This window comes from Homo sapiens, chromosome 3 (genome assembly GCF_000001405.40).
Source record: "Homo sapiens chromosome 3, GRCh38.p14 Primary Assembly".
Classification (NCBI taxonomy): Eukaryota; Metazoa; Chordata; class Mammalia; order Primates; family Hominidae; genus Homo; species Homo sapiens.
This window is the reverse complement of record NC_000003.12, coordinates 43,373,348-43,398,435: the sequence shown is the minus strand read 5'-3', so window position 1 is coordinate 43,398,435 and position 25,088 is coordinate 43,373,348. Positions and strand designations below refer to the sequence as shown.

General features: G+C 42.7%; 1 protein-coding gene across 12 annotated transcripts in view, besides 1 other annotated feature; it reads left to right on the top strand.

The window, feature by feature from the left end:
• The window catches only part of ANO10 (anoctamin 10), a 325,747-nt gene that overhangs the window by 293,159 nt on the left and 7,500 nt on the right, over positions 1-25,088 (top strand). The window lies entirely within an intron of this gene.
• Positions 19,965-20,259: a silencer, noted in NCBI's record as "tiled region #1625; HepG2 Repressive non-DNase unmatched - State 13:Ctcf". NCBI's record gives its function as "represses a minimal TATA promoter and a strong SV40 promoter by Sharpr-MPRA in HepG2 cells {active_cell/tissue: HepG2}" and the evidence as "EXISTENCE:reporter gene assay evidence [ECO:0000049][PMID:27701403]".

Genomic DNA, 25,088 nt, shown 5'->3' with positions numbered 1-25,088 from the left:
TACAAAGCGATATATTACTTTAACTATTTAAAAAGTTTTAATGACAGACTTTTTGTTACCTACTAATTTATCAAAACTTTACATTAATCTTTACATTAATCTAAAACTTCAAATTAATCTACATTAATCTATGTCATGTACAAAATCCCACAATAGATAAAATGGACATGAAAACAGTTTTTAAAAGTTAAAGCCACTAGCCAAGTCTTAAGAGTCCTTGTTGTTAAGTTGCCATATCAATATTTGTTGTTATTTGTTCTAAACAACCCTCTCCATACCTTATTATATGGGAGACAACTGTGGAGTCCAGAGTCCTCTTCTTTTTATTTCCCATATGGCTTTGACCAAGGTAATATATGTCCATGAATCCCAGTTTCTCAATCTGTAAAACCTGGATTTAAATATCATACAGTTTTGAAGATCAAAAGTAAATGAAGGAACTCCTGCTTCCTGTCAAGATGGAGTAACAGGGACCAAACCCCTTCATGCCAGAAAGAACCCCCCAAAACAGACAAAATACGTGAATCAATGTTTTTCCAACAGTGGACATCAGGCAGTGAAGGACAGTGATCTCTGAGAGATAGAGATAGAAGAGAGACTATTTGAGTTCTACATTCGCCCCAGTTTGCCCCACTGAGAGGCAGAGTCTGGGGAGGCCACAGCAGCCAGAGTTCACAGGACAGAGTACCAGAGACAGCAGAGCTGCAAGGAGAGATAACCCCAGAGATCTGCTGAGGGCTCCATTTACTATTCAGCAGAGCATGTGCATTTGAGGAAGCTCTCTGAGGCTCAGAGGGAACAGTGTTATTCCTACTAGCCTGATTAGGAAAATCGGAATACACGAGGTGTTGAGTAAAACACTCAGAAAGGTATTGCCCTGTTAGTAGGGAATAATAAGTTGTGGACTGAGATCTGCTCTAAACCCACCTAACAAATGATAAAAACAAGACCCAAGAGGATTGAACTGCTTCTAACTTAACTGTATCCTAGAACAAAGCCCAGGAATATAAATATACGCCCCCCGCCCCATGATGAGGAGAATCATGATCAATTAGAACTGACCCAAAGCTGAAATACTTGTCAGAATTAGCAAGCAAGGGCGTTAATACAGTTATGAAAACTGTATTCCATATGTTTAAAAACTATACGGAGACATGCAAATACTTTTAAAAGATGCACACCTGACTTCTAAAGATAAAAACTACAGGGCTGGGCAGGGTGGCTCACACCTGTAATCTCAGCATTTTAGGAGGCTGAGGCAGGTGGATTACCTGAGGTCAAGAGTTCAAGACCAGCCTGACCAACATGGTGAAACCCTGTCTCTACTAAAAATACAAAATCAGCTGGGTGTGGTGGCACATGCTTGTAATCCCAGCTACTTGGGAGGCTGAGGCAGGAGAATCTCTTGAACCAGGGAGGCAGAGGTTGCAGTGAGCCAAGATCACGCCTTTGCACTCCAGCATGGGCAACAAGAGCGAAACTCCATCTCAAAAAAAAAAAAACTACAATGCCTGAGACAAAAAAATACACTGGATGGGATTAGCAGCAGATTAGACATTGCAGAAGAAAAAAATTAGTAAACTTAAAGACACAGCAATAAAATGACCTGGCATGCTGGTGCACACTTTAGGCCTAGCTATTCAGGAGGTGAAGGCAGGAGGAGCTCAGGAGTTTGAGCTCCTGAGCTATGTGAGCTACAGTGAGCTATGATTGCACTCCTGTATTCCAGCTTGGACGACAGAGCAAGGCCCTGTCTCTGGGGGAAAAAAAAGAAAAAACAATAAAACTTATCAAACATGGGCCGGGTGCGGTGGCTCATACCTGTAATCCCAGCACTTTGGGAGGCTGAGGCGGGTGGATCACGAGGTCAGGAGATCGAGACCATCTGGCTAACATGGTGAAACCCCGTCTCTACTAAAAATACAAAAAATTAGCCGGGTGTGGTGGCAGGCGCCTGTAGTCCCAGCTACTTGGGAGGCTGAGGCAGGAGAATGGCATGAACTTGGGAGGCGGAGGTTGCAGTGAGCCAAGATTGCGCCACTGCACTCCAGCCTGGGCGACAGAGCGAGACTCCATCTCAAAAAAAAAACCTTATCAAACGTGAAGCGAAGAAAGAAAAAATAATTGTAAAAATGAAAAGAGCTTTAGTGAACTATGGGACATCATCCAGCAATTGGGAATTTCCTCAACCTGATGAAGGGCATCTATGAAAAGTCTAAAACTGGTGTCATACTTAGTGATGAAAGACTGAATGCTTTCCCCTTGGTATAAGGAACAATAAAAGGGTGTCTATTCCTACCACTTCTTTTCAACATTATGCCGAATGTTCTGGCCAGCGCCATCAAGCAAAAAAAAAAAATAAATAAATAAATTAATAAAAGGCATTCAGAATAGAAAGGAAGAAGTAAAAAACTGTCTACTCACAAATGACATGATCATCTGCACAGAAAATCTGATGGATCTGCAGAAACTAGAAGTCGTCATTTGCAGGTTGTCTGTGGCTGCTTTTGCACCCCAGTGGGAAAGTTGAGTCATTGTGACAGAGACTATATGGCCCAAAAGCCTCAAATATTTACGTCCAGCCTTTTAATAATATTTTGCCAACCCCTGTTCTATAGATTCAGTATAATCCCAATAAGAATCTAAGTAGGCTTTTTTTTTTTTGTAGAAGTTGATGAACTTGCTTCTAAAATTCATATGGAAATGCAAAGGACCTAGAATAGCCAAAGCTTTTAAAAAGAAGAACACAATTGGAAGACTACTTGATTTCAAAGCTTATTATACAGGGGGGAATAGTGTAGATTAACGGAGCAGAATAGAGTTCGGTGATAACCTCACACATGTATGTACTACTGATTTTTGACAAAAGTGCAAAGACCATGCAGTAGAGAATAGTCTTTTCAATAAACGGTTCTGGAACAATTGGATATTCATGTGCAAAAAAATGAACATGGACCCATACATCATACCAAAATGGATTATAGACGTAGATGTAAAATCTAAAATTCTAAATCTTCCAGAAAAAAAGATAAAATATTTGAGATCTTACATTAAAATATTTGAGACCTTACATTAGGCAAAGATTTCTCAGCTACAATTCCTAAAGTATGATCCATAAACGTATGATCCACAAATCGATAAATGACACTTCATCAAAATTTAAAACTTCTGCCCTTCCAAATCTTGTCATCTATATAATGAGAAAGCTAAAAGAAAAGCAGGAGAATCTGCTAGAAAACTTTCCTAGGGTCCTCTGATTGTTAAAAAACTGATAATTACCCTGATAATTACCTGATAATAACATTGATTATTACCATCTCTGGGCTGGAGATGAACTGTATTAGAGAATTCAGCTACCCACCCTCTTCCCTCTCACCTCAGTCCCCCTTACCTTGTACCCTTTCTTCACTAGGAGAAAAAGCCAAGCAGCAAAAGAGTCCAGCAAAATCATAGTTTCCTAAAATAAGAAAACTTTTTACGAAAAGCCACATAAGAGTGGACCTCTCTTGAATACCAGAAGATATGGAAATTTAGGCAATTGGGAAGAAAAGTGGTTTGGAGCCAAGCAGCACTCCTAGATTTTTACCCTAAGACCTAAGCTTATTAGTGGTAGGACCTTGCCCATGTCAGTTACTACATCTGTAAATGGGAACACTGTGAGAATTAGAGATCAGGGCTTCAAAGTGCACCCCCACCCCTCCACCCGGGGCAGCTCAAGGTGGCCTTCTCTTAACCACTGTTGCGTTTTTCAGTTGTGCCAAGATAGGCTGCTTAGGTTTCTTCACTACCATGGGAAATGATTCTGTAAAATGGGAAAACTAAATGCAAGTGTAAGGGCGTTGTTGTTGTCGTTTTCACTGTTTCCTATAAATTCTACATCTTCTTACTGGAAGAGAAGATCTAGGCTCTAACTCTTTAGAGGAGATTAAACATTCCTGTGCAGGATGGAAAAAATTCAGGAAGGGAGCCAGGAAAACAAATATCCTGAAGAGGCTTAGGGTCAAGAGGTGAGGGTGGGAGAATTTGACACAAGGGAAAAAGAAAAATGCAGAGCTACTGGTGGTATATTTATGACAGGAAGGTTTTCCCATAGAGGATAGAGCTGGACTTTTCAAGGGGTGGCTGCCTGCCAGGCCTTAGTACAAGAAGAAGAGATCATAGGCAGGTCACAGGAAATGTGCTGCTGACCATGAGAGGTGGTGATGCCTGGGGGTAGGGACCAGAGGGGGACAACGTCTAAGGCCCCTCTTCCAGGGAGGCCAAACAGGAAGGATGTTGTCTCATTAGCACGGATTTCCAAGATGTGAAAGCATATCTACCAACACTTATCAGGCCTACCAGCCACCCTAAACTTCCCCCAATTCTCATGCAAATGAAGTGACAGAAAAAAAAAGTTATGATACCCTGTGAGTGTTCACAGCCTTTTCCCACCCCCAGGGGTGTTCATTCTCTCCTAGCTCAGTTCCTAGGCTTATGTATAGGGCAGAAAAATTAGGGGCTGGGCAGCAGGTAGAGGGGGTCTTGAGGTGCCATTGTCTTGCTCTGGAAAAGGCCAAGATCTGGAAATGGAGGGGTTAGGGGTAGAGAGAGAGACCAAAGTCTCTGAGCATTGGAGGAGGAGATTGGAAAGGGGAACCTTCATGGTGTAGGTAACAGGAGGGTTTTGCTTGCTTGCTTCCCAACATCACCTTTTGTAACATCCCAGAGTTACAAAAGGCAATGTTGAAAACTGGGAAAAGAATAAAAAAGAAATGAAAATATGTGCCCATGGTAAATGCAGGAGACATGGAGACCAGTGTGGCTGGAGGGAAAGAGAGGAGGGCTATGGAGAGTTGGCCAGGGATTTGCAGGAAGGAGCCTTGCACACAGGGCTGTTGCCTTTATCCCAAAAGCCCAGGAAGCCACCGAAGGGGCTTGAGCGTACGTGTATCATCTTTAGATTTATGTTTAGGTTACATCAAAAAAGACAGATTGGGGATGTGGCCAGAGAGGGTATAAGTAAACCAGTAAGAAGATGGTTCCAGGAGTTTCTGTGATGGATTTATGTGAAGGTGGTCAAAATGTAGAGAAGTAGACAAATTTGAGAAATGATTAGGAGATCAAGTCAATCAAAACCAATCTTGGTTTTCCGAGGCTCCAGAGCCATGCTCTGGGGTGAATGGCTGTGCACTTCACTTGATGGAAGGATAGCCTTGCTTCGGAAGATGATCTTGAATTTAGTGTTGTTAATTTATTAACATCCAAGGGAAATATGAGGTAGGCATTGGTTATGTGAGTGTAGAATTCAGAGGAAAGTCTGGGCTGGAATAAAGACATGTGCATGATCTGCATGTAGATGTGGCTGAGGCCATGGGTGTGCATGGTCTCTCTCAGGGAGAGCACATAGAGCCTCACTGTCCACAGTAGCCTGTGGCCATCTGTGCCTATTTGGATTTAAATTAGTTCAAATTAAATCAGATTAAAAATTCAGTTCCTCAGTTGCACTAAGCAAAATGAGGACCAGGAAATGCCCCCTTGGATTTAACAATATGGCGGTCACGGGTGACCCTAGAGGGAGCTATTTTAGTGGATGAATAGGGCCAGGAGCCAATGTGGAGTGGTTTGGGGAGCTAGAGTTGAAAAAGCAACCAGGATAGACAACTTAAATGCATTTGGCTGGAAAAGAGAGGAGAGAAATAGAATGTCGACTGAAGAGTGAGCAGGGATGAGGAGTGGAGAAGAGGGCTTTGTTTGTAGGTTTAATAAGAGAAACTAGTGTGTATGTTTAATAGCCAGTGGGCAATAGCCGAATTCTAGGAATTTGTCCCTTAGATTTACTCACATATATATAAGGGGATAAACACACGTGTGTGAGCAGCAATGGTTTAAAAACAACCTAAATAGCCTGGTTCAGAGCACTGGTTAAATGAATTCTCTTGTCCATACAATGGAATTATTGCAGCCATTCTAAATAAAAAGAGCTTTCTACAGTTCCTGATATGGGATCATCTCCATGATTTATCAGGCTGATTTTGCAAGATGCAGAACAGGATATATTATTGCCATTCTTTGTATTAAAAACAAGAGGATAGATGTTCCAGAGGTATCCTACACTGATATTTATTTTTTTAAACCACACACACTGAAAGAATGATCAAGAAAATTGCTGCTAAGATGGGGAACTGGGGAATAAAAGTGTGGGTAAATGTTTTTTTCACAGTATTTTTATACTGCTTGATTTGACTTTTTAAAAACTATGTACTTGTATTTTAACAATAAAATTTTTTTTTAAAGTCAGTGAGAAAGATTCAGTTGAGAGAGAGAAGTTAAATAATCAGGAGACAGGAGGGAGAGGGCCCACCTCCTGCCTCTCTGGTGAGGACCCTGTGATACTTTATTACTCCACTGACCAGAAGCTCCATGAAATCAGGTGTAGTTTTACTTAAAATGAGTTTTTGTGATACTAGAGTATCTTAGATCTAGGTAGATATCACCCATCCCATATTATCTATTGCTAGGTAACAAATTACCCCCAGACTTCACAGCTTATGACAAACATTTGCTCTCTCACAGTTTCTTTGAATCTACACATGGCTTACTTCAGTGCCTCTGACTCAGGATCTCTCTCAAGGCCACAGTCAAGGTGATGGCTGAGGCTGCAGGCATCTCAAGGCTCACCTTAGGGAGGATCCATTTCCAGGCTCACTCCCCTGGCTGCTGGCTGAAGATACCAGTTCCTCACCACTATGGGACCTCTCCTCAGGGCCACCCACAACATGGCTTCCATCACAGCTAGCAAATGAGCGAAGGTGCACCCAAGATGGAAACCATAGCCTCTGTAAACTCAGAAGTGAGCCTGTCGCTTTTACTGTATTCTGTTGGTTAGAAATGAGTCACTAGGTGCAATCCACACTCAAGAGTAGGGGATTCCACAAAGGAGTGAATCCCAGGAGGCACAGGGATCCTTGGGGCCATTTAGAGGCTGCCTACTATAAACCCTAAATTCAGCAAAGTTGAATACTTCTTATATGGTAGTGTTCTGTTCCAACTCATGGAAATAATTTTTGTTTCATGAACAAAAGAATTCATGCATTCATCCTTATATGTTTTTTTCCTCAGAATAGTCAGTTGCAGCTTTATTGTTCTGCAGTAATACTTTAGAACTTCCCGTCTGTTTTTGATATTTTCTGAATTTTATCATTTTGATACAGTTTGAGAAGTTTGATAAACTAGGAAACTGATTATCACTTCACCTTTCAAAATCATTTAGGGAACATTCTCCTGTAGTCCTTGTTTTAGAAATATACGCTGACATGAGTGGTTGTAAAAGGGCATAATGTCTGCAGCTTACCCTCAGATAGTTCAGAAAACATGCTGCAGAGAGAGTGATCAAGCAAATGGGGTGAATGTCAGCCATTGGTAAATCTGAGTGAGGGTATTCAGGACTCCTTTTTACTATGCTTATAATTTTTTCTGTAAGATAATGTCAAAGTTAAAATTTTGAAAAAGAAATTCTTATACTCCTCCCCAGACCTACTAAATGAGAATTGCAAGTGGGACCTGAGAAACTTATTTTTATCCTTAGATCCGTTCTGATTACTGATCAGCAAGGTTAGGAACACACTGCGTGAGAATACACTCATTCTACTCATAAAGTTGTCTTCATAGAGCATCTGAAATTGCTAGTTGCACTTTTGAGTCTAATTTTGAAGCCAAGGGCAGAAGAGACCCCTCAAAGATCTGTTTGTGGTTACTGTACATAAGTCCTCCCCATAAGTCTTCTGGCTCACCCCCAATTTTGTGCCACATCTCAGATATGGGGAGACCAACAAACAGGGCCATGTCAGCTCCCACACTGGGTCCTCTGCTCATGGGGTGCAGCCCAGTGGGACCACAGAATGGAGCACCTGTGGCGGGCTAAGGAGGCTTCATAGAAGATGTGGCACATGAACTGTGCCTTCAAAGAGTGATAGGAATGCATGGGTTTGTGCAAAGCCACAGAACTCTCAAATGGGAGGACCCTGAAACAAAAAACCTGCTACTGTTCAGTGTACTGGGCACAGAGGTTGGGAGTGAGAGCCAAGAGAGGCATCTGTGATTTTCCCAGAGCTGCCTGCACAGCCTGTGCAGTGGCTCTGCACTAAGGTTCCCAGCCAGAAGGGCAGTGGGGAAGGAGGAGGGGAGGGAGCTGTAGAGAAGTGGGAGAGGAGACCCAGAGGTGGTGGGCTCAACGTCCAGTCCAGGTGTGTCAGTTTGGTGGCTGGAAGTTTGGGTGTCTCCCACACTCTCCCAGGGACTGCACATTCCTCAGCACATTTTAAATACCATAGGTGGGGTTCGTGTGAGACCCTACTTCCCTAAGAATGAAGAACTTTCCCTGGATGCCAGGACTTTAAAAACTGTTGGCAGAGTTCCTTTCTTGCGTATGACTGTTGGTGATGCACATTTGTACCTGATGAAGGTTTTGTTTGGAAAGAGTTGTCCTCTCATTGAGTCAAGGCCTTTAGGCTCTGACTCAACCCGCTGTTTTGTTTTGTTTTGTTTTGTTCCATTTCCGTCTAGTACGTGCTTTCCTCTGTGGTCAGCCATCACTTCCTCCCAGCCCGGAACACGCATAGGAGTGACTGGCTTTTCCGAGGGCACTGAGGAAGTCTTGATACTGATACCAGTTCCTTTTTGAAAATAAGAATGGTAGTTTTTATCCTTGAGCTTATTTTGTTAAGTCATTGTGGATGTCTTTATCTTCCTTTCCATTGGTTTTCATGCCCTTTTAATCAGGTTTACATAAGTAAGAGCATTTATCCATGTGCTTTGCTACATACTTATCTGGAATGCTTGGTTCAAAGGGCAATAAAATAAACACAACCCAATACAGTTGCATGGTTATTTATTTGGTGCAAGCTTGTTTGTTTGACTTCTCTGAAATGACTTACGGAAATATTGGTTTGCTTTCTTCTCCTAGATCCATCCAAGTTAACTGTGAATCAGCTGTGGGCTTTGCTAGGTAACACAGAATCACCCACTGAAAGCTGACCATGAGCTCCTAAAACATTTATTTCATGTCCTTTTAACAAAATGACTTGGAGGTCTTTCAGGGTAGCAGGATAAAATCATCTATATTTTATAACTTTTACCAAGGGATTTCCTGTTAGCAAACAGCTTATCTCTTGTGCTCTCTGCTGTTCTTGGCTTCATATAAGAAAGCACTAGTAATGTTAGATGAAGGACTAAATATTTGAAGGCATATTTACTTCAACACCTGTTGGGTGGATCAGCTCATGTTTCTGAAAAGCAAAGCAAGGAGGTAGAGTTCTAACACTCTAGATTTCACAACTTTTGTTCATTTGTCTGCAGCCATATGGTTTAAGCAGGATCATGCTAGCTAACAGTTTAACCTAATCTGTGACTGTGATCTCCCTTCCAAAGAGTACCAGTAACATGGGCTAGATGCCATCTTTATAGAACTTTCCAGTTTCTGAAAAGGTTTGTGTGATGGGAACAGAGAAAGAAGCCATTGCTGCTCTCAGTATATAGTACAGCTGCAACTTTAGACTTAGAAGCAGTGAGGAATTGGCATGAAGATAGTATTTGGGACTAGCTTCTTTCCATAGTGATTTTGTGAAATGTGTTTTACTACTTCTCTTAGTATTTTGCATACTCTTCTGAATGTGCTGTGTAGAATGAACCATAACATTTTAGGTTCTAGCCTTTATCCTCTTTGTGAATTCAGAAACATTAGTTTTTTTCAGTAACATATCTAAGTTTGGTAATATTGGTCTTACCTAAAGAACCAAAAACATCTTCCAAGTTCACCCATGTACTTAAAGTTTTTCTTAGTTTTCTCAGAGCCTAGGAAAAATCAGAACTTTTTAATATCCATTAGGTGATCAAAGTGTGAGCCTATGATATTGCATAGAGAGTAAGAAACTAGCTGCAGTTATATTTCCATTATCTTGGTAAGAAAACAAAAGAGCCTTCGGAATGTGGTCAGGAACACAGGGATAAGGGCATGCATTCACACATGCCATCTCCCAGGGCCACAGCCTGTCACCCTGGGAGCGCCGCTCTTCATAGCCAGCTGGGGTGTGTGCATAATGCTGGCTGCCAACAGGGACCGAGTTCATGGTTGATTCCAGTGAAACTCTATAATCACTGCAGTTCTCAAAACCCTATCTCAGCCCACCAATGCCGACACACACACCACAGGCCAGCTCTCTCCTGAAGCACTTGCACACTCAGGAGGAACCTGGTGTGGTTTGACAAGGCTGTACACAGGGGTTGTTAGTCACAAATGCCCCAATTTCTGCATCCAGGCCCTGTGTTCTGATCACACCAGGGTCTTTCATTTCTTTGCTCTCAAAAACCTAGAGTGCACATGTTTGTGAAAAAGTAATTTACTTTTCACAGATAAAGCCTTCCTGCATGTATTTCTTTTTGTGTGCCATTATAACCTATTCCTCTAAGAAAGGTGAATATCCAATTTAGGATTGTCAGGAAAAAAAGAAATTGGAAAAACACAGACATGTCGCCTTAGTATATGTAAACCAAGTCTCAGATCTCCACAGGAAGCCTCTCCCTGGGGGTACAAGCCCAGCACAGGGTGGACCACAGGACTTAGCCACTCGGGGACTTCTGCTAGGGCAGGTGCACCAAACCATCAGAGGAAAGGGGCTGTCCTGCCACCTGTGAACTCCCTCAGCAGAGGAGCTCCCCCACAGAAGGGGCAGTGCCTAGTACCAGCCACTTGGAAGTGAGCCGTTGACACCTCTGTTGATCCTGAAATGGCTTCCACTGAGAACCACAGTGTTTATGGTGTTCAGTGATGCCTCACATAGCCCCAGAAGCTGCCGTCTCTCTTCACAGACCTTTCTTTAGAATATCTGGGGAAAAATGGAAAGGGGATCTCATGTCTACTCCTCACTTAGCCCCAGCTATAGACTGCTCCCAGCTGCGTGTAGGGCCTCTGCCACAAACCATGATCTAGAAATCTCAGCCATCACCTCCACCTGACAGTGCTCTCCCTCCTGCCCTCCTCAAGCTCTCCCTGCCGCCCAGCACCCCAAGATGAGGCTGGAGACATGGGAGTGATAAGGGGCAATTACAGCTAGAAGGGAGACTTTAAAGCTGGACACCAAGTGCAGTCACGCACTGTGTGACGACGTTTTGGTCAATGACGGACCACATATATGATGGTGGTCCCAATGATGATTACTGTACTTTTCTATGTTTAGATACACAGATACTTCCCATATAGTCACCTATAGTGTTCAGTACAGTAACGTGCTGGGCAGATTCGCAGCCTAGCAGCAGTGGGCTACACCATGCAGCCTAGGAGTGTAGTATGCTGTGTCACCTAGGTCCATATAAGTGCACTCTGTGATGTTGACAGTGCAACAAAATTGCCTGACAATACAGTTCTCAGAACGTGTCCCATCGTTAAGGGACATATGACTGTATGACGGTTCCTAGAGTCCAGTGAAGAAAACAACCACATCAGGGCACCCTCAAGTTCCTAATTCTCTTTCCCATTTCGAGATTGGCCCTCTGTCCTCCCAGTGGAGATCCCAGGCTTCAGTCCTGCCCCTAGGAAAGCCCCACCCTTACTCATAGGCGGCTTTCTCCAGGTTGAACCCCCTTTCCCTCAGCAGGACCACCTGTAGAGTCCAGGGATGCATGTGGGTTGCTGGGACTGAGGAGCTGTCAGGGCAGCCCAGGCATGACCCCTGCTCATTCTCCCTGCCTCCTTCCCAGAGGTAGCTGATTTGGAGACACACACACACACACACACACACACACACACACACACACGTACACACCTACACACAACTTTCAAAAAGCCCGTTTTCTCAGACACCATGGAGCAGCCTGAATTCCTACCAAGGAAGAGAAACCTTTGCATGAGAATGAGCCCACCTGCAGAGACCCAGCACACAGTGAGGTCCCCTTTTTCTCTATTTTGAGGGGACATTTAAGTTTCTCAGATCAGGTGTTGCTGGCTCCATATGCAAAGCCAAGACTCCCTCAGTTATCAAGATGTCTTTCCTTCCTTCCCTTTCCTTTCCCTTCCCCTTTCCTCCTTTCTTCCTCTTTATTTCCCTTCCTTCTTCCTTCCTTCTTGCTTTCTCTTTTGCTTCCTTGCTCCTCTCCCTCCTTTCTTCTTTCCTTCCTTCTTTTTAAAGTATTTTATCTCAGATTGCTTTCAGGAAGAGAGGAGTGGCCATCAGCCAGAAGCAGAGGCACTTCCTTCAAACAAAAATGATTTAAACCAGGTCTCCTACTCTCCTAGCTAAAAAGAGGCAGGTGAATCCTTGAAATCACAACTTCCTCAGAATCCTCAGGCAGGACTCCCTGGACTCCAGAGTCAGAGAGAGCAACAGGACAGTTTATTCCCCCCTTGTCCATGGCAAGCCACAGGAGCCTGGGGGAGAAGGGTGTCTTCCTAGAACAGAAGCTCCTTGGGGGATGAATTTAATGTTGTATAATATTTTTGTTTGTTTGGTTGTATTGTTTGTTTTAGAACTTTGTCACATTTAATTTTTTTTATTTCAATATGTTTTTGGGGGACAGGTGGTGTTTGGTTACATAAATAAGTTCTTTAGTGGTAATTACTGAGATTTTAGTGCACCCATCACCTGAGCACTACACTGTACCCAATGTGTAGTCTTTTATCCCTCACTCCCCTCCCATCCTTCCCCCCCATCCTTTCCCCCATGTCCCCAAAGTCATTCTTACACCTTTGCCTCCTCATAGTTTAGCTCCCAGTTATGAGTGAGGACATACAATGTTTGGTTTTCCATTCCTGAGTTACCTTACTTAATGTCTCCAGTGGTCTCCAGTTCCATCCAGGTCGCTGCGGATGCCATTATTTCGTTTCTTTTTATGGCTGAGTAGTATTCCATGGTATATACACCACATTTTCTTTATCCACTCGTTGGTTGATGGGCATTTGGGCTGGTTCCATATTTATGCAGTTGCAAATTGTGCTGCTATAAACATGCATTTACAAGTATCTTTTTCGTATAATAATTTCTTTTCCTCTGGGGAGATACCTAGTAGTGGGATTGCTGGATTGGGGTGGATCTATTTTTAGTTATTTAAGGAATCTCCACACTGTTTTCTATAGTGGTTGTACTAGTTTACATTCCCACCAACAGTGTAAAAGTATTCCCTTTTCACTGTATTCATGCCAACATTTATTACTTTTTATTTTTTGATTATGGCCATTCTTGTAGGAGATATTGCATTGTGGTTTTGGTTTGCATTTCCCTGATCATTAATGATGTTGAGCATTTTTTCATATGCTTGTTGTCCATTTGTACATCTTATTTTGAGAATTGTCTGTTCATGTCCTTAGCCTACTTTTTGATGGGATTGTTTTTTTTCTTGCTGATTTGAATTCTTTGTAGATTCTGGATATTAGTCCTTTGTTGGTTGTATATATAGATTATGAAGATTTTCTCCCACTCTGTGGGTTGTCTGTTAACTCTGCTGATTGTTTCTTTTGCTGTGCAGAAGCTTTTTAGTTTAATTAAGTCCCATCTATTTATCTTTATTTTTGTTGCATTTGCTTTTGGGTTCTTGGTCATGAAGTCTTTGCCTAAGCTAGTGTCTAGAAGGGTTTTTCTGATGTTATCTTCTAGAATCTTTATGGTTTCAGGTCTTAGATTTAAGTCTTTGATTAATCTTGAGTTGATTTTTGTATAAAGTGAGAGATGAAGATCCAGTCTCATTCTTCTACATGTGGCTAACCAATTATCCGACCACCATTTGTTGAATAAGGTGTCCTTCCCCACTTTGTTTTTGTTTGCTTTGTCGAAAATCAGTTGACTGTAAGTATTTGGCTTTATTTCTGGATTCTGTGTTCTATTTGATTGGTCTATATGCTTGTTTTTATGCCAGTACCATGCTGTTTTGGTGACGATGGCCTTATAGTTTGAAGTCGGGTAATGTATGCCTCAAGATTTGTTCTTTTTGCTTAGTCTTGCTTTGGCTATGCAGGCTCTTTTTTCATTCCATATGAATTTTAGGATTGTTTTTTGTAGTTCTGTGAAGAATGATGGTACTATTTTGATGGAAATTGCATTGAATTTGTAGATTGCTTTTGGTGGTATGGTCATTTTCACAATATTGATTCTACCCATCCATGAGCATGGGATGTGTTTCCATTTGTTTGTGTCATCTGTGATTTCTTTCAGCAGTGTTTTGTAGTTTTCCTTGTAGAGGTCTTTCACCTCCTTGGTTAGGTATATTCCTAAGTATTTTACTTTTCTTTTTTTTTTTGAAGCTATTTTAAAAGAAGTTGAGTTCTTGATTTGATTCTCAGCTTGGTCGCTGTTGGTATATAGCAGGGCTACTGATTTGTGTACATTAATTTTGTATCTGGAAACTTTGCCGAATTCATGTACCAGTTCTAGGAACTTTTTGGATGAGTCTTTAGGGTTTTTTAGGTATATGATCGTGTCATCAGCAAACAGCAGCAGTTTGATTTCCTCTTTACCGATTTGGATGCCCTTTCTTTCTTTCTCTTGTCTGATTGCTCTGGCTAGGACTTCCAGTACTATGCTGAATAGAAATAGTGAAAGTGGGCATCCTTGTCTTGTTCCAGGGGTAATGCCTTCAACTTTTCCCTTTTCAGTAAAATGTTGGCTGTGGTTTGTCATGGATGGCTTTTATTACCTTAGGGTATGTCCCTTCTATGCTGATTTTGCTGAGGGTTTTAATAATAAAGTGACGCTGGATTTTGTCAAATGTTTTTTCTGCATCTACTGAGATGATCATGTGATTTTTGTTTTTAATTCTGTTTATGTGGTGTATCACATTTATTGACTTGTGAATGTTAAATCATCCCTGCATCCCAGGTATGAAACCAGGGATTTTTGTTTTTTATTTGGTTTATGTGGTATATCACATTTATTGACTTGCAGATGTTAAACCATCCCTGCATCCCTGGTATGGAACCCACTTGATCATGGTGGAGTATCCTTTTTTTTTTTTTTTTTTTTTGAGACAGAGTCTCGCTCTGTTGCCCAGGCTGGAGTGCAGTGGCACAGTCTCGGCTCACTGCAAGCTCTGCCTTCCATGTTCACGCCATTCTCCTGTGTCAGCCTCCTAAGTAGCTGGGACTACAGGCACCTGCCACCATGCCCAGCTAATTTTTTTGTATTTTTAGTAGAGACAGTGTTTCACCATGTTAGCCAGGATGGTCTGGATCTCCTGACCTCGTGATCTGCCCGCCTTGGCCTCCCAAAGTGCTGGGATTACAGACATGAGCCACCGCACCCGGCCATGGATTATCTTTTTGATATGCTGTTGTATTCCGTTAGCTACTATTTTGTTGAGGATTTTTGCATCTATGTTCATCAGGGATATTGGTCTGTAGTTTTCTTTTTTTATGTCCTTTCCTGGTTTTGGTCTTAGGATGATACTGGCTTCATAGAATGATTTAGGGAGGATTCCCTCCTTCTCTATCTTTTGGAATAATGTCAATAGGATTGTTACCAGTTCTTTGAATGTCTGATAGAATTCAGCTGTGAATCCATCTAGTCCTGGATTCTTTTTTTTGTTGGTAACATTTTAATTACCATTTCAATCTCACTGCTTGTTATTGGTCTGTTCAGAGTTTCTATTTCTCCCTCGTTTAAACTAGGAGGGTTGTATATTTCCAGGAATTTACCTGTCTCCTCTAGGTTTCCTAGTTTATGCACATAAAGGTGTTCATAGTAGCCTGAATGATCTTTTGTATTTCTTTGGTATTGGTTGTAATATCTCCCGTTTCGTTTCTAATTAAGCTTATTTGGATCTTCTCTCTTCTTAATCCATTAGTCTATCTTTTCAAAGAACCAGCTTTTCGTTTCATTTATCTTTTGTATTGTTTTTGTTTGTTTGTTTGTTTCATTTAGTTCTGCTCTGATCTTGGTTATTTCTTTTTTTTTTTTTTTGAGACGGAGTCTCGCTCTGTCGCCCAGGCTGGAGTGCAGTGGCGCGATCTCGGCTCACTGCAAGCTCCGCCTCCCGGGTTCACGCCATTCTCCTGCCTCAGCCTCCCGAGTAGCTGGGACTACAGGCGCCCGCTACCACGCCCGGCTAATTTTTTGTATTTTTAGTAGAGACGGGGTTTCACCGTGTTAGCCAGGGTGGTCTCGATCTCCTGACCTCGTGATCCGCCCGCCTCGGCCTCCCAAAGTGCTGGGATTACAGGCGTGAGCCACCGCGCCCGGCCTGATCTTGGTTATTTCTTTTCTTCTGTTGGGTTTGGGTTTGGTTTGTTCTTGTTTGTCTAGCTCCTTGAGATGTGACCTTAGATTGTCTATTTGTGCTCTTTCAGACTTTGTGACGTAGGCATTTAATGCCATGAACGTTCTTCTTAGCACCACCTTTGCTGTATCCGCACTGCCTTTGCTGTATCCCAGAGGTTTTGATAGGTCGTGTCACTATTATTCAGTTCAAATAATTTTTTAATTTCCATCTTGATTTCATTGTTGACCCAATGATCATTTGGGAGCAGGCTATTTAATTTCCATGTATTTGCAGGGTTTCAAGGGTTTCTTTTGGAGTTGATTTCCAGTTTTATTCCACTGTGGTCTGAGAGAGTACTTGCCATAATTTCGATTTTCTTATATTTGTTGAGACTTGTTTTGTGGCCCGTTGTATGGTCTATCTTGGAGAATGTTCCATGTGCTTATGAGTAGAATGTATATTCTGCAGTTGTGAGTAGAATGTTCTGTAAATATCTGTTAAGTCCATTTGTTCTAGGGTATAGTTTAAGTCTGTTGTTTCTTTGTTGACTTTCTGTCTTAATGACCTGTCTAGTGCTGTCAGTGGAGTATTGAAGTCCCCCACTATTATCGTGTTGCTGTCTATTTCATTTCTTAGGTCTAGGAGTAATTGTTTTATAAATTTGGGAGCTCTAGTGTTAGGTGCATATATATTTAAGATTGTGATATTTTCTGGTTGGACTATTTCTTTTATCATTATATCATGTCCCTGTTTGTCCTTTTTAACTGTTGTTGTTTTAAAGTTTGTTTTGTCTGATATAAGACTGGCTACTCCTGCTTGCTTTTGGTGTCCATTTTCATGGAATATCTTTTTCCACCCCTTTACCTTAAGTTTATGTGAGTTCTTATGTGTCAGGTGAGTCTCCTGAAGGCAGCAGCAGATACTTGGTTGGTGAATTCTTTTCCCTTCTGCCATTCTGTATCTTTTAAGTGAAGCATTTAGGCCATTTACATTCAACATTAGTGACATGGGTTGACCATGTCCTGGCCCAGATCTCATCTTGAATTGTAGTTTCCATAATCCCCATGTGTCATGGGAGGGCCCAGTGGGAGCTGTTTTAATCATGGGGGCGGTTACCCTCATGCTGTTCTTCTCATGGTGGCGGGTGAGTTCTCATGAGATCTGATGGTTTTATAAGGGGCTTGTACCCCTTTGCTCGGCGCTTCTCTCTCCTGCCACCATGTGAAGAAGGACGTATTTGCTTCCCCTTCCGCCATGATTGTATGTTTCCTGGGCCATGCGTAAATGTGAGTTAATTAAACCTCTTTTCTTTGTAAATTATCCAGTCTTGGGCACTTCTTCATAGCAGCGTGAGAACGGATTAATACAGTTAGTATTGAGATGTGAGGTACTATTCTATTCAACATGCTATTTGTTGCCTGAATGCCTTGTTTTTTTCATTGTGGTGGTGTTTTATAGGTCCTGTGAGATTTATACTTTAAGGAGGTTCTATTTTGGTGTATTTTGAGGATTTGTTTCAAGATTTAGAGCTCCTTTTAGCAGTTTTTATAGTGCTGGCTTGGTAGTGGCGAATTCTCTCAGCATTTGTTTGTCTGAAAAAGACTGTATCTTTCCTTCATTTATGAAGCTTAGTTTCGGTAGACACAAAATTCTTGGCCAATTGTTTTGTTTAAGGAGGCTAAAGATAGGACCCCAATCCCTTCTAGCTTGTAGGGTTTCTGATGAGAAATCTGCTGTTAATCTGATAGGTTAATCTGATAGGTTCCTTTGTAGGTTACCTGATGTATTTGCCTCCCAGCTCTTAAGATTCTTTCCTTCATCTTGACCTTAGATAGCCTGATGACTATGTCCCTAAGTGATAATCTTTTTGTGATGTATTTCCCAGGTGTTCTTTGAGCTTCTTGTATTTGGATGTTAGATTTCTAGCAATGCTGGAGAAGTTTTCCTCAATTATTCCCTCAAATATGTTTTCCAAACTTTTAGATTTCTCTTCTTCCTTGAGAACACCAATTATTCTTAGGTTTGGTTGTTTAACATAATCCCAAACTTCTCGGAGGCTTTGTTAATTTTTTTAAATTCTTTTTCTTTGTCAGATGGGGTTAATTTGAAAGCCTTGTCTTTGAGCTCTGAAATTCTGTCTTCTGTTGGTTCGATTCTGTTGCTGAGACTTCCAGTGCATTTTGCAGTTCTCTAAGTGCATCCTTAATTTCCAGAAGTTGTGATGGTTTTTTATTTATGCTATCTATTTCACTGGAGATTTTTCCATTCATATCCTGCATCATTTTGTTTTTTATTTATTTAAGTTGGACTTCGCCTTTCTCTGGTGCCTCCTTGATTGGCTTAATAGTCAACCTTCTGAATTCTTTTTCTGGCAATTCAGAGATTTGATCTTGGTTTGGATCCATTGCTGGTGAGCTAGTGTGATCTTTTGGGGGTGTTAAACAACCTTGCCTCTGCTGTATCACACAGGTCATCAGGGAAGTTGGGGAAAGCTGGCAGCCACAGCCCTCACCCAGCTCCTATGCAGCCCACAGCCCAAAAGGCCAGTCTCCCTCCCACCGTGCCCCCACAACAGCGCTGAGTTTATTTCCAGGGCTGAGAACTTTCTCTAGGCTACATGCCTCCCAGCTGAGAAAGCAAGCAGACTCACAGTTCCTGGCTGTCCCACAGAGCCTGGAGGCAGTCCATCTCCTTTAAAGGGTCTGTGGATTCTCTTGGCTTTCCTGGTATGTTCCTGCAGTAGTTCTTGGAGCAAAAGTTCACGATGTGGGCCTCCACACACTGCTCTGTTTGCCTGAGTGGAAGCTGCAAGTTAGTCCTTCCTTCTATTTGCCATTTTCAGGTTCAGGGCTCACTCCTCACTTCTTCTAAGTTCTCCAATTGCAAAAGCACATTCAATATTTTTAATAAAAAACATATGCTTTAAATATTATCCAATTAATTACTAACAGTACCCGACTAAAATATGTAACCTGGAGGAAAAAGAAAGACAGTCTGTTGGTAGTTCAGTGCTGTATGTATCCCAAGATGTGTTTTGATGGCCTTTTGTCACCAACTGGGACAGCATTGTGTCACTTGAGTTCTAGATTTGCGAAAATATTGACTGGCTGCCGTGTGTGCTCAGGATCCTGTAGCATAGCAGTGAGGAATGTTCAATGATGTTTTCATCAACCTGTATTTAGTGATCAGTATTGGTTACAGGGACTGCCACTCAGGAAGGGATATAGGTAATGGAAAATTAAAGTGAAATGAAAGGTGTTGGGAAGAAGCAGTAATTAATCCTGCTTGTTGAGGTTTCTAGGTGGGAATGAGTAAAAATTAACTTTTCTGAGGGAAAATGATGTCAAGTGAATAAAGGCTAGAATCCCTGCCTAACACTTACTGTGTTGTTCCTACACAAAAATCAAGCATAGTCAAGTCAACCATCCCTGGCTCCAGCTTTACCCAGGCTCTATAGAAGGGGTGCCTAGTGCCTGCAATTCTGATGACTCACAGCCGTCATCACCCAGGGGTAGCCCTTCTCAACTGGCCAGGAACAGGGCCCTGCTCTGGGGGGAAGGGTACATGGTAATCTCTTGTACAGTGAGGGGATATAGAGTTTTAAAAATCATAATGTTGTAATTATCAATTTTGTTTTACTCATAATAGTAATATTGAAATTTTAAATGACATTATAGAAGATATAGATATTTGCATTTATCAAAGGGCCATACAGTGTTCAGATGTGGGGAAAACTGCCCTGGGAAAGATTGTAAAGGTGATGGGAAACATTTATACTTTCTCTGCGGTCTGCAGTTGTGGCTGCATTTCATAAGGATCTGTTTTCACCTTGGTGATGGCCTTAGTGTTTCTTAAGAATGGAACCAATCCCCTCTGCCACCACCAGGGGTCCTTTGATGCCTGGGTGCCTCCTTTACCTTCCTAGGTGTGCAGAAAGTGGGTGCAGAGCTTTTCTGGGCAGAGAAGGAGCTCACCCTTTGGCAGCTGCTCCTACTCATCCCACTTTCACTTTCCTTGTGGCCACTGGCAGTGTTTTCTTAGATTAAAGGTTGTTCTCCCTTTATAGTTAAGAGTAATATTTACTAAGTTGTGTTGAAACTGATGTGGGCAGTGGACTGTCTCCTGCATTTCATTTAGTAGGCTCTTACTTCATCCTTTAACTTTCTAAACTGAGTTTCTTTCTCATGCGACAGTGAAATTGTGTCCCCTCATACTCCATGAGTCGGGACTGCAGTGGGAGGCTGGACACTGGATTACCTCTGATCACCAAGGCATCTTTTCTCAGATGGCCACCACTGTGCCACCCCAGTTCAGGGTCCTTTTAGAGACTCTTTGATTTCTAGAGTGTTTATTCCTATTCTTTGGGCTTTTAAACTTTTGTGTCATTCCTTGATCTAACCAAACTGTCAAGGCTTCAATTCCTGGATCTGTAAATGTCACCTAGCCATGGCTTTCACTGAAGGAGCCTGCGGGGGTTTCTTTGGAACAGCCACTTGTGCTTGGTGTCCACTGGCCTGGCCACGCCTCCTCTTCTGGCCTGAACCTGAGCCCTGGCTCTCTAGCTATCAACATGGAACCTCAGATCAAAGATGAGGGCTGGCTAGATGGTCATCTTGGCCTTGGATGGTCACAGACCTCTCTGGGTCTTATCTCCCAAGGGCCCCAGGTGACCTGTATGACAACATAGGGGGTTCTCTGGCTTGTGAAAGAACAATGCTGCCGCCCTCCTTGGCTCCAAGGGCTTCCAGACCAGAAAGTAGTTATTCCTGAAGGACTTGGCACCCTTCCTCCCAGGCAAGGAGGAGGGAGAGCCTTCCTGAAGAAGTGATGCTGTGGGCCCTGTGCGGGGGCTCACACCTGTAATCCCAGTGCTTTGGAAGGCCGAGGCAGGCAGATCACTTGAACCAGGAGTTCAAGACAAGCCTGGGCAACATGGTGAAACCCCATCTCTACAAAATATGCAAAAAATTAGCTGGGTGTAGTGGCACACTCCAGCCTCCCAGCTACTCAGAAGGCTGAGGTGGGAGGATCACCTGATCCCGGAAGGTCCAGGCTGCAGTGAGCTGTGATTGTGCCACTGCACTCCACTCCAGCCTAGGTGACAGAGTGAAACCCTGTCTCAAAAAAAAAGTAATTTAAATATTGTTTTAAAAAAGAAGTCATGCTATGTAAGTCTTGTCCAGGAAATGTCTCCTCCAGACCAGATGCTCTTGGTCATCTAGATGACCTGAACAATTGGGACAATGTCCTAGTAACATCACTGAATGTGTCAGTATCATGGGGCTGAGGATAATACACAAGAAGATTGTAGACCTCGCTGGCATCTGAAACAGCTCACTGCCATATTACAGCAGAACCTGGGTGGAAGATCTCCTCTTCGCATTTCTGTTTGCAAAATAACATCACACCTGTAGATCTAGTTACAGTGAAACTAGAAAGGAGCCATGCCAAAGTCATTTTAAAAAGAAACTTCATTCTTTGCCCTGTGATTTGGAGGCAAACTGATTACATGTTATTTTTACATTATTATTTGCAAAAATATGAAAATTTCCCCCTTTCTCAGAATTGGTGTCACCTTCATTGTCTTTTTGGTCCTCCCATCTGGGAACATCATTCCCATGTCTTCCTCACTTTGTTGCCCTCTTACCTATGTTGCCATAACACACATAGTTGATGGTCATTCCAGAAGTAATTGTAGCTTTCGTATATAATTATATTACTTCTTTAAGATTAGTCATAGTTTGCTTTTGATGTTAGGGACTTTGATTCTTTTTATTTATAATTATACCTCTACTTTACAAGTGTCAAAATACTGCCCCTGTCTCAGCCTCAGGCCACTGCTCTAGTCCCCTTGGTTGATGTCCCCAGGACACCCCCAGCCCACTGTTCTCCATGCTCATATCAGGATGTTTCAAAAAACCGTCCATTCAATTCAGCCTTTTAAGCAACATCTGTTACTAGCTTTTTCTCTTCATCCAGTGGAGGAGATATGGCTTATTTTAACCTTTCTTGTTCCTGAATAATTTATTAATGTTTCTGCTCCCTTTTATGTGTTTAGTAAACTGCAGTCCCTTGCGGATCGAGGTTTCTGGTTCTTGCCATGCTCTTTGTTGGAGGTGCTCTTCAGCAGCTCTCCATCACCAGCCAGTTGGTGACAAGAGGCCATCAGAACACATCTGGGGCACACACAGCAATGAACCACCAAGGGGCTCCTTCCATTCTCTTTCCTCCAGGTCACACCTTTTAATGGGGTGCAGTTGGTAATAAGTTGGATAATATTTAAAGCACATGCCTGTTTTTTACTTATTAAAAATATTGAATGTGACAAAGTTGTAAAAACAAACAAAAATGAACAAACAAAAAATATTATATGGCATTAAATTCATCCCCCAAGGAGCTTCTGTTCTAGGAAGACACCTTCTCCCCCAGGCTCCTGTGGCTTGCCATGGACAAGGGGGGAATAAACTGTCCTGTTGCTCTCTCTGACTCTGGAGTCCAGGGAGTCCTGCCTGAGGATTCTGAGGAAGTTGTGACTTCAAGGATTCACCTGCCTCTTTTAGCTAGGAGAGTAGGAGACCTGGTCTAAATCATTTGTGTTTAAAGGAAGTGTCTCCGCATCTGAGTTTCAGCTGCTCTAGCGTTTGTGATTTTGCCAACTGTCTCACTGTGGTTTCCACATTTTCTTATTCTTGTTCCCTTTGGAAGCCTTTCTTTAAAAAAAAAAATCATCAAGGACTTCTGGATATTTTTTAAAACTTGATTCTCTTTTTCTGAGACAGAGTTTCCCTCTTGTCACCCAAGCTGGAGTGCAATGGTGCATTCTCGGCTCACTGCCACCTCCACCTCTCGGGTTCAAGCGATTCTCCTACACTAGCCTCCCGAGTAGCTGGGATTACAGGCGCCCGCCACCACGCCTGTCTATTTTTTTTGTATTTTTAGTAGAGACAGGGTTTCACCATGTTGGCCAGGCTGGTCTCAAACTCCTGACCTCAGGTGATCCACCTGCCTTGGCCTCCCAAAGTGCTGGGATTACCAGCATGAGCCACTGCGCCCACCCAAAAAAATGATTCTTAAAGTTTTTTGTTGTTTGTTTTTTTTTTGAGACAGAGTTTCACTCTGTCACCCAGGCTGGAGTGTAGTGGCGCAATCTCGGCTCACTGCACCCTCCGCCTCCCGGGTTCATGTGGTTCTCCTGCCTCAGCCTCCTGAGTAGCTGGGATTACAGGTGCCTGCCGCCACGCCCAGCTAATTTTTGTATTTTTAGTAGAGACGGAGTTTCACTATGTTGGCTAGGCTGGTCTTGAACTCCTGACTTCAAGTCATGTGTCCACCTCGGCCTCCCAAAGTGCTGGGATTACAGGTGTGAGCCACCGCGCCCGGCCAGTTCTTAAAGTTTTAAGCACTCTTTAATATCTTGCTAAAATGTGTGCATACAGATCAAGATAGGGTTAACCTGGTGTATCTGGAGCCAGGCTGCCATGGTTTCAGAGATTTAGCAGAAGCAGAAAATCTGAGCCAGGTGTGACAAGACAAAATTGGATCCACACCAATAATTCAGAGATACTCGCAAGATCTCATGGATTAGAAGTGTGATCCAGTTGAATCTGAATCTCAAAGCACAGGTGACCCCAGTGGATAGTTGGGTGATATTATTATAGTACAAAAATGAAACGTCTAGATCCAACATCAGGGTAGGGGCCGGGCAGCCTGTAGGTTAGGAGCCAGCTCTGGAGCCAGACGGCCTGGGCTCAAACCTGCTATAACCTGGTGCAAGTTTCTCAACCTTTATGTGCCTCTGTTTTTTCTTTAAAATCATAATGGTATGTCTCTCATAGGGTGGTTATGAGGAGTAAATCAAATGTGCATAGTGTTTAGAACAGTGCCTGGCGTGCAATGTGATGTAAGTGTTGGGCACTATGAATTTAAATTACACACAGGTAATATAACAGACATTAAAAGTTATATCAACAAAGGAGGTTAAAAAGAGGTTTTGCTGTACAAGAGCAATTAGAAATGCAGGAAATGGGGAGTTAAGTAGCCAAGATTGGCATGAACCTGGCACAGGGAACCCTAGGAAGCATAGGACTGATGCCCAGACCCATGGACCTGAGCCCCACAGCCTGGAGGAACCATCTAGATGGGTGCGTCCACTCCATGCTGAAGCCTGGGGGTTCTGCAGAAGGATCTCTTGGTTTAGTTACTAGGTGATTTCGTGTATATTTGGGGTATCCATAACTTGGAGAAAATATCAGTGTCCACTGATAGAACATGAAAGGACAGAGGCGATGAGCAGCCCTGATGAGGGCTTGCTGCCTCTGACGACATTTCCCAGACCCAGGGAGGTGGGTCAGTTTTGCTTGGTCATTTTGTGTTAGCATCCAGCTCTTTCTGGCCACCTGTGGAACCTCATGGCCTGTAGCGTTGGTTGGTATGTGAGGATTCCAACTCCCAGATTTGGGAGGTGGCTGTAGTTAATCAGACATGACTAGCTTCCTGTTCCAGAAGCGGTCAGAATGAGTGTGTGCCTGGGGATGGCTGGAAAGCCAGCCTCTGGCTTCTATAGGCACCTCACTCTCCATGGGAAGTAATTTGCAGTCTCAAAATATCTCCTTTCAAAGTCCTTTAACTTCTGTTTTGGGAAATTTTGCTCTGAAACCCAGATGTGCAGAGAAAGCAGGGCTCAAAAGATCATTTGAGAAACAGACATTACACCTTTGTTTCCCCTTTTGAACTGACATCCACCCACCCCACGGTTAGCTCATGCAGTTAATGGCCTGTGTCATAGACTCCCTCACATGTCTCCTGTTGTGTGAGCGGGAGCCTTTCTGGAATGGGGATTTGATTTTCTTGGCGGAGTCTTTGTTTCTAGCTGG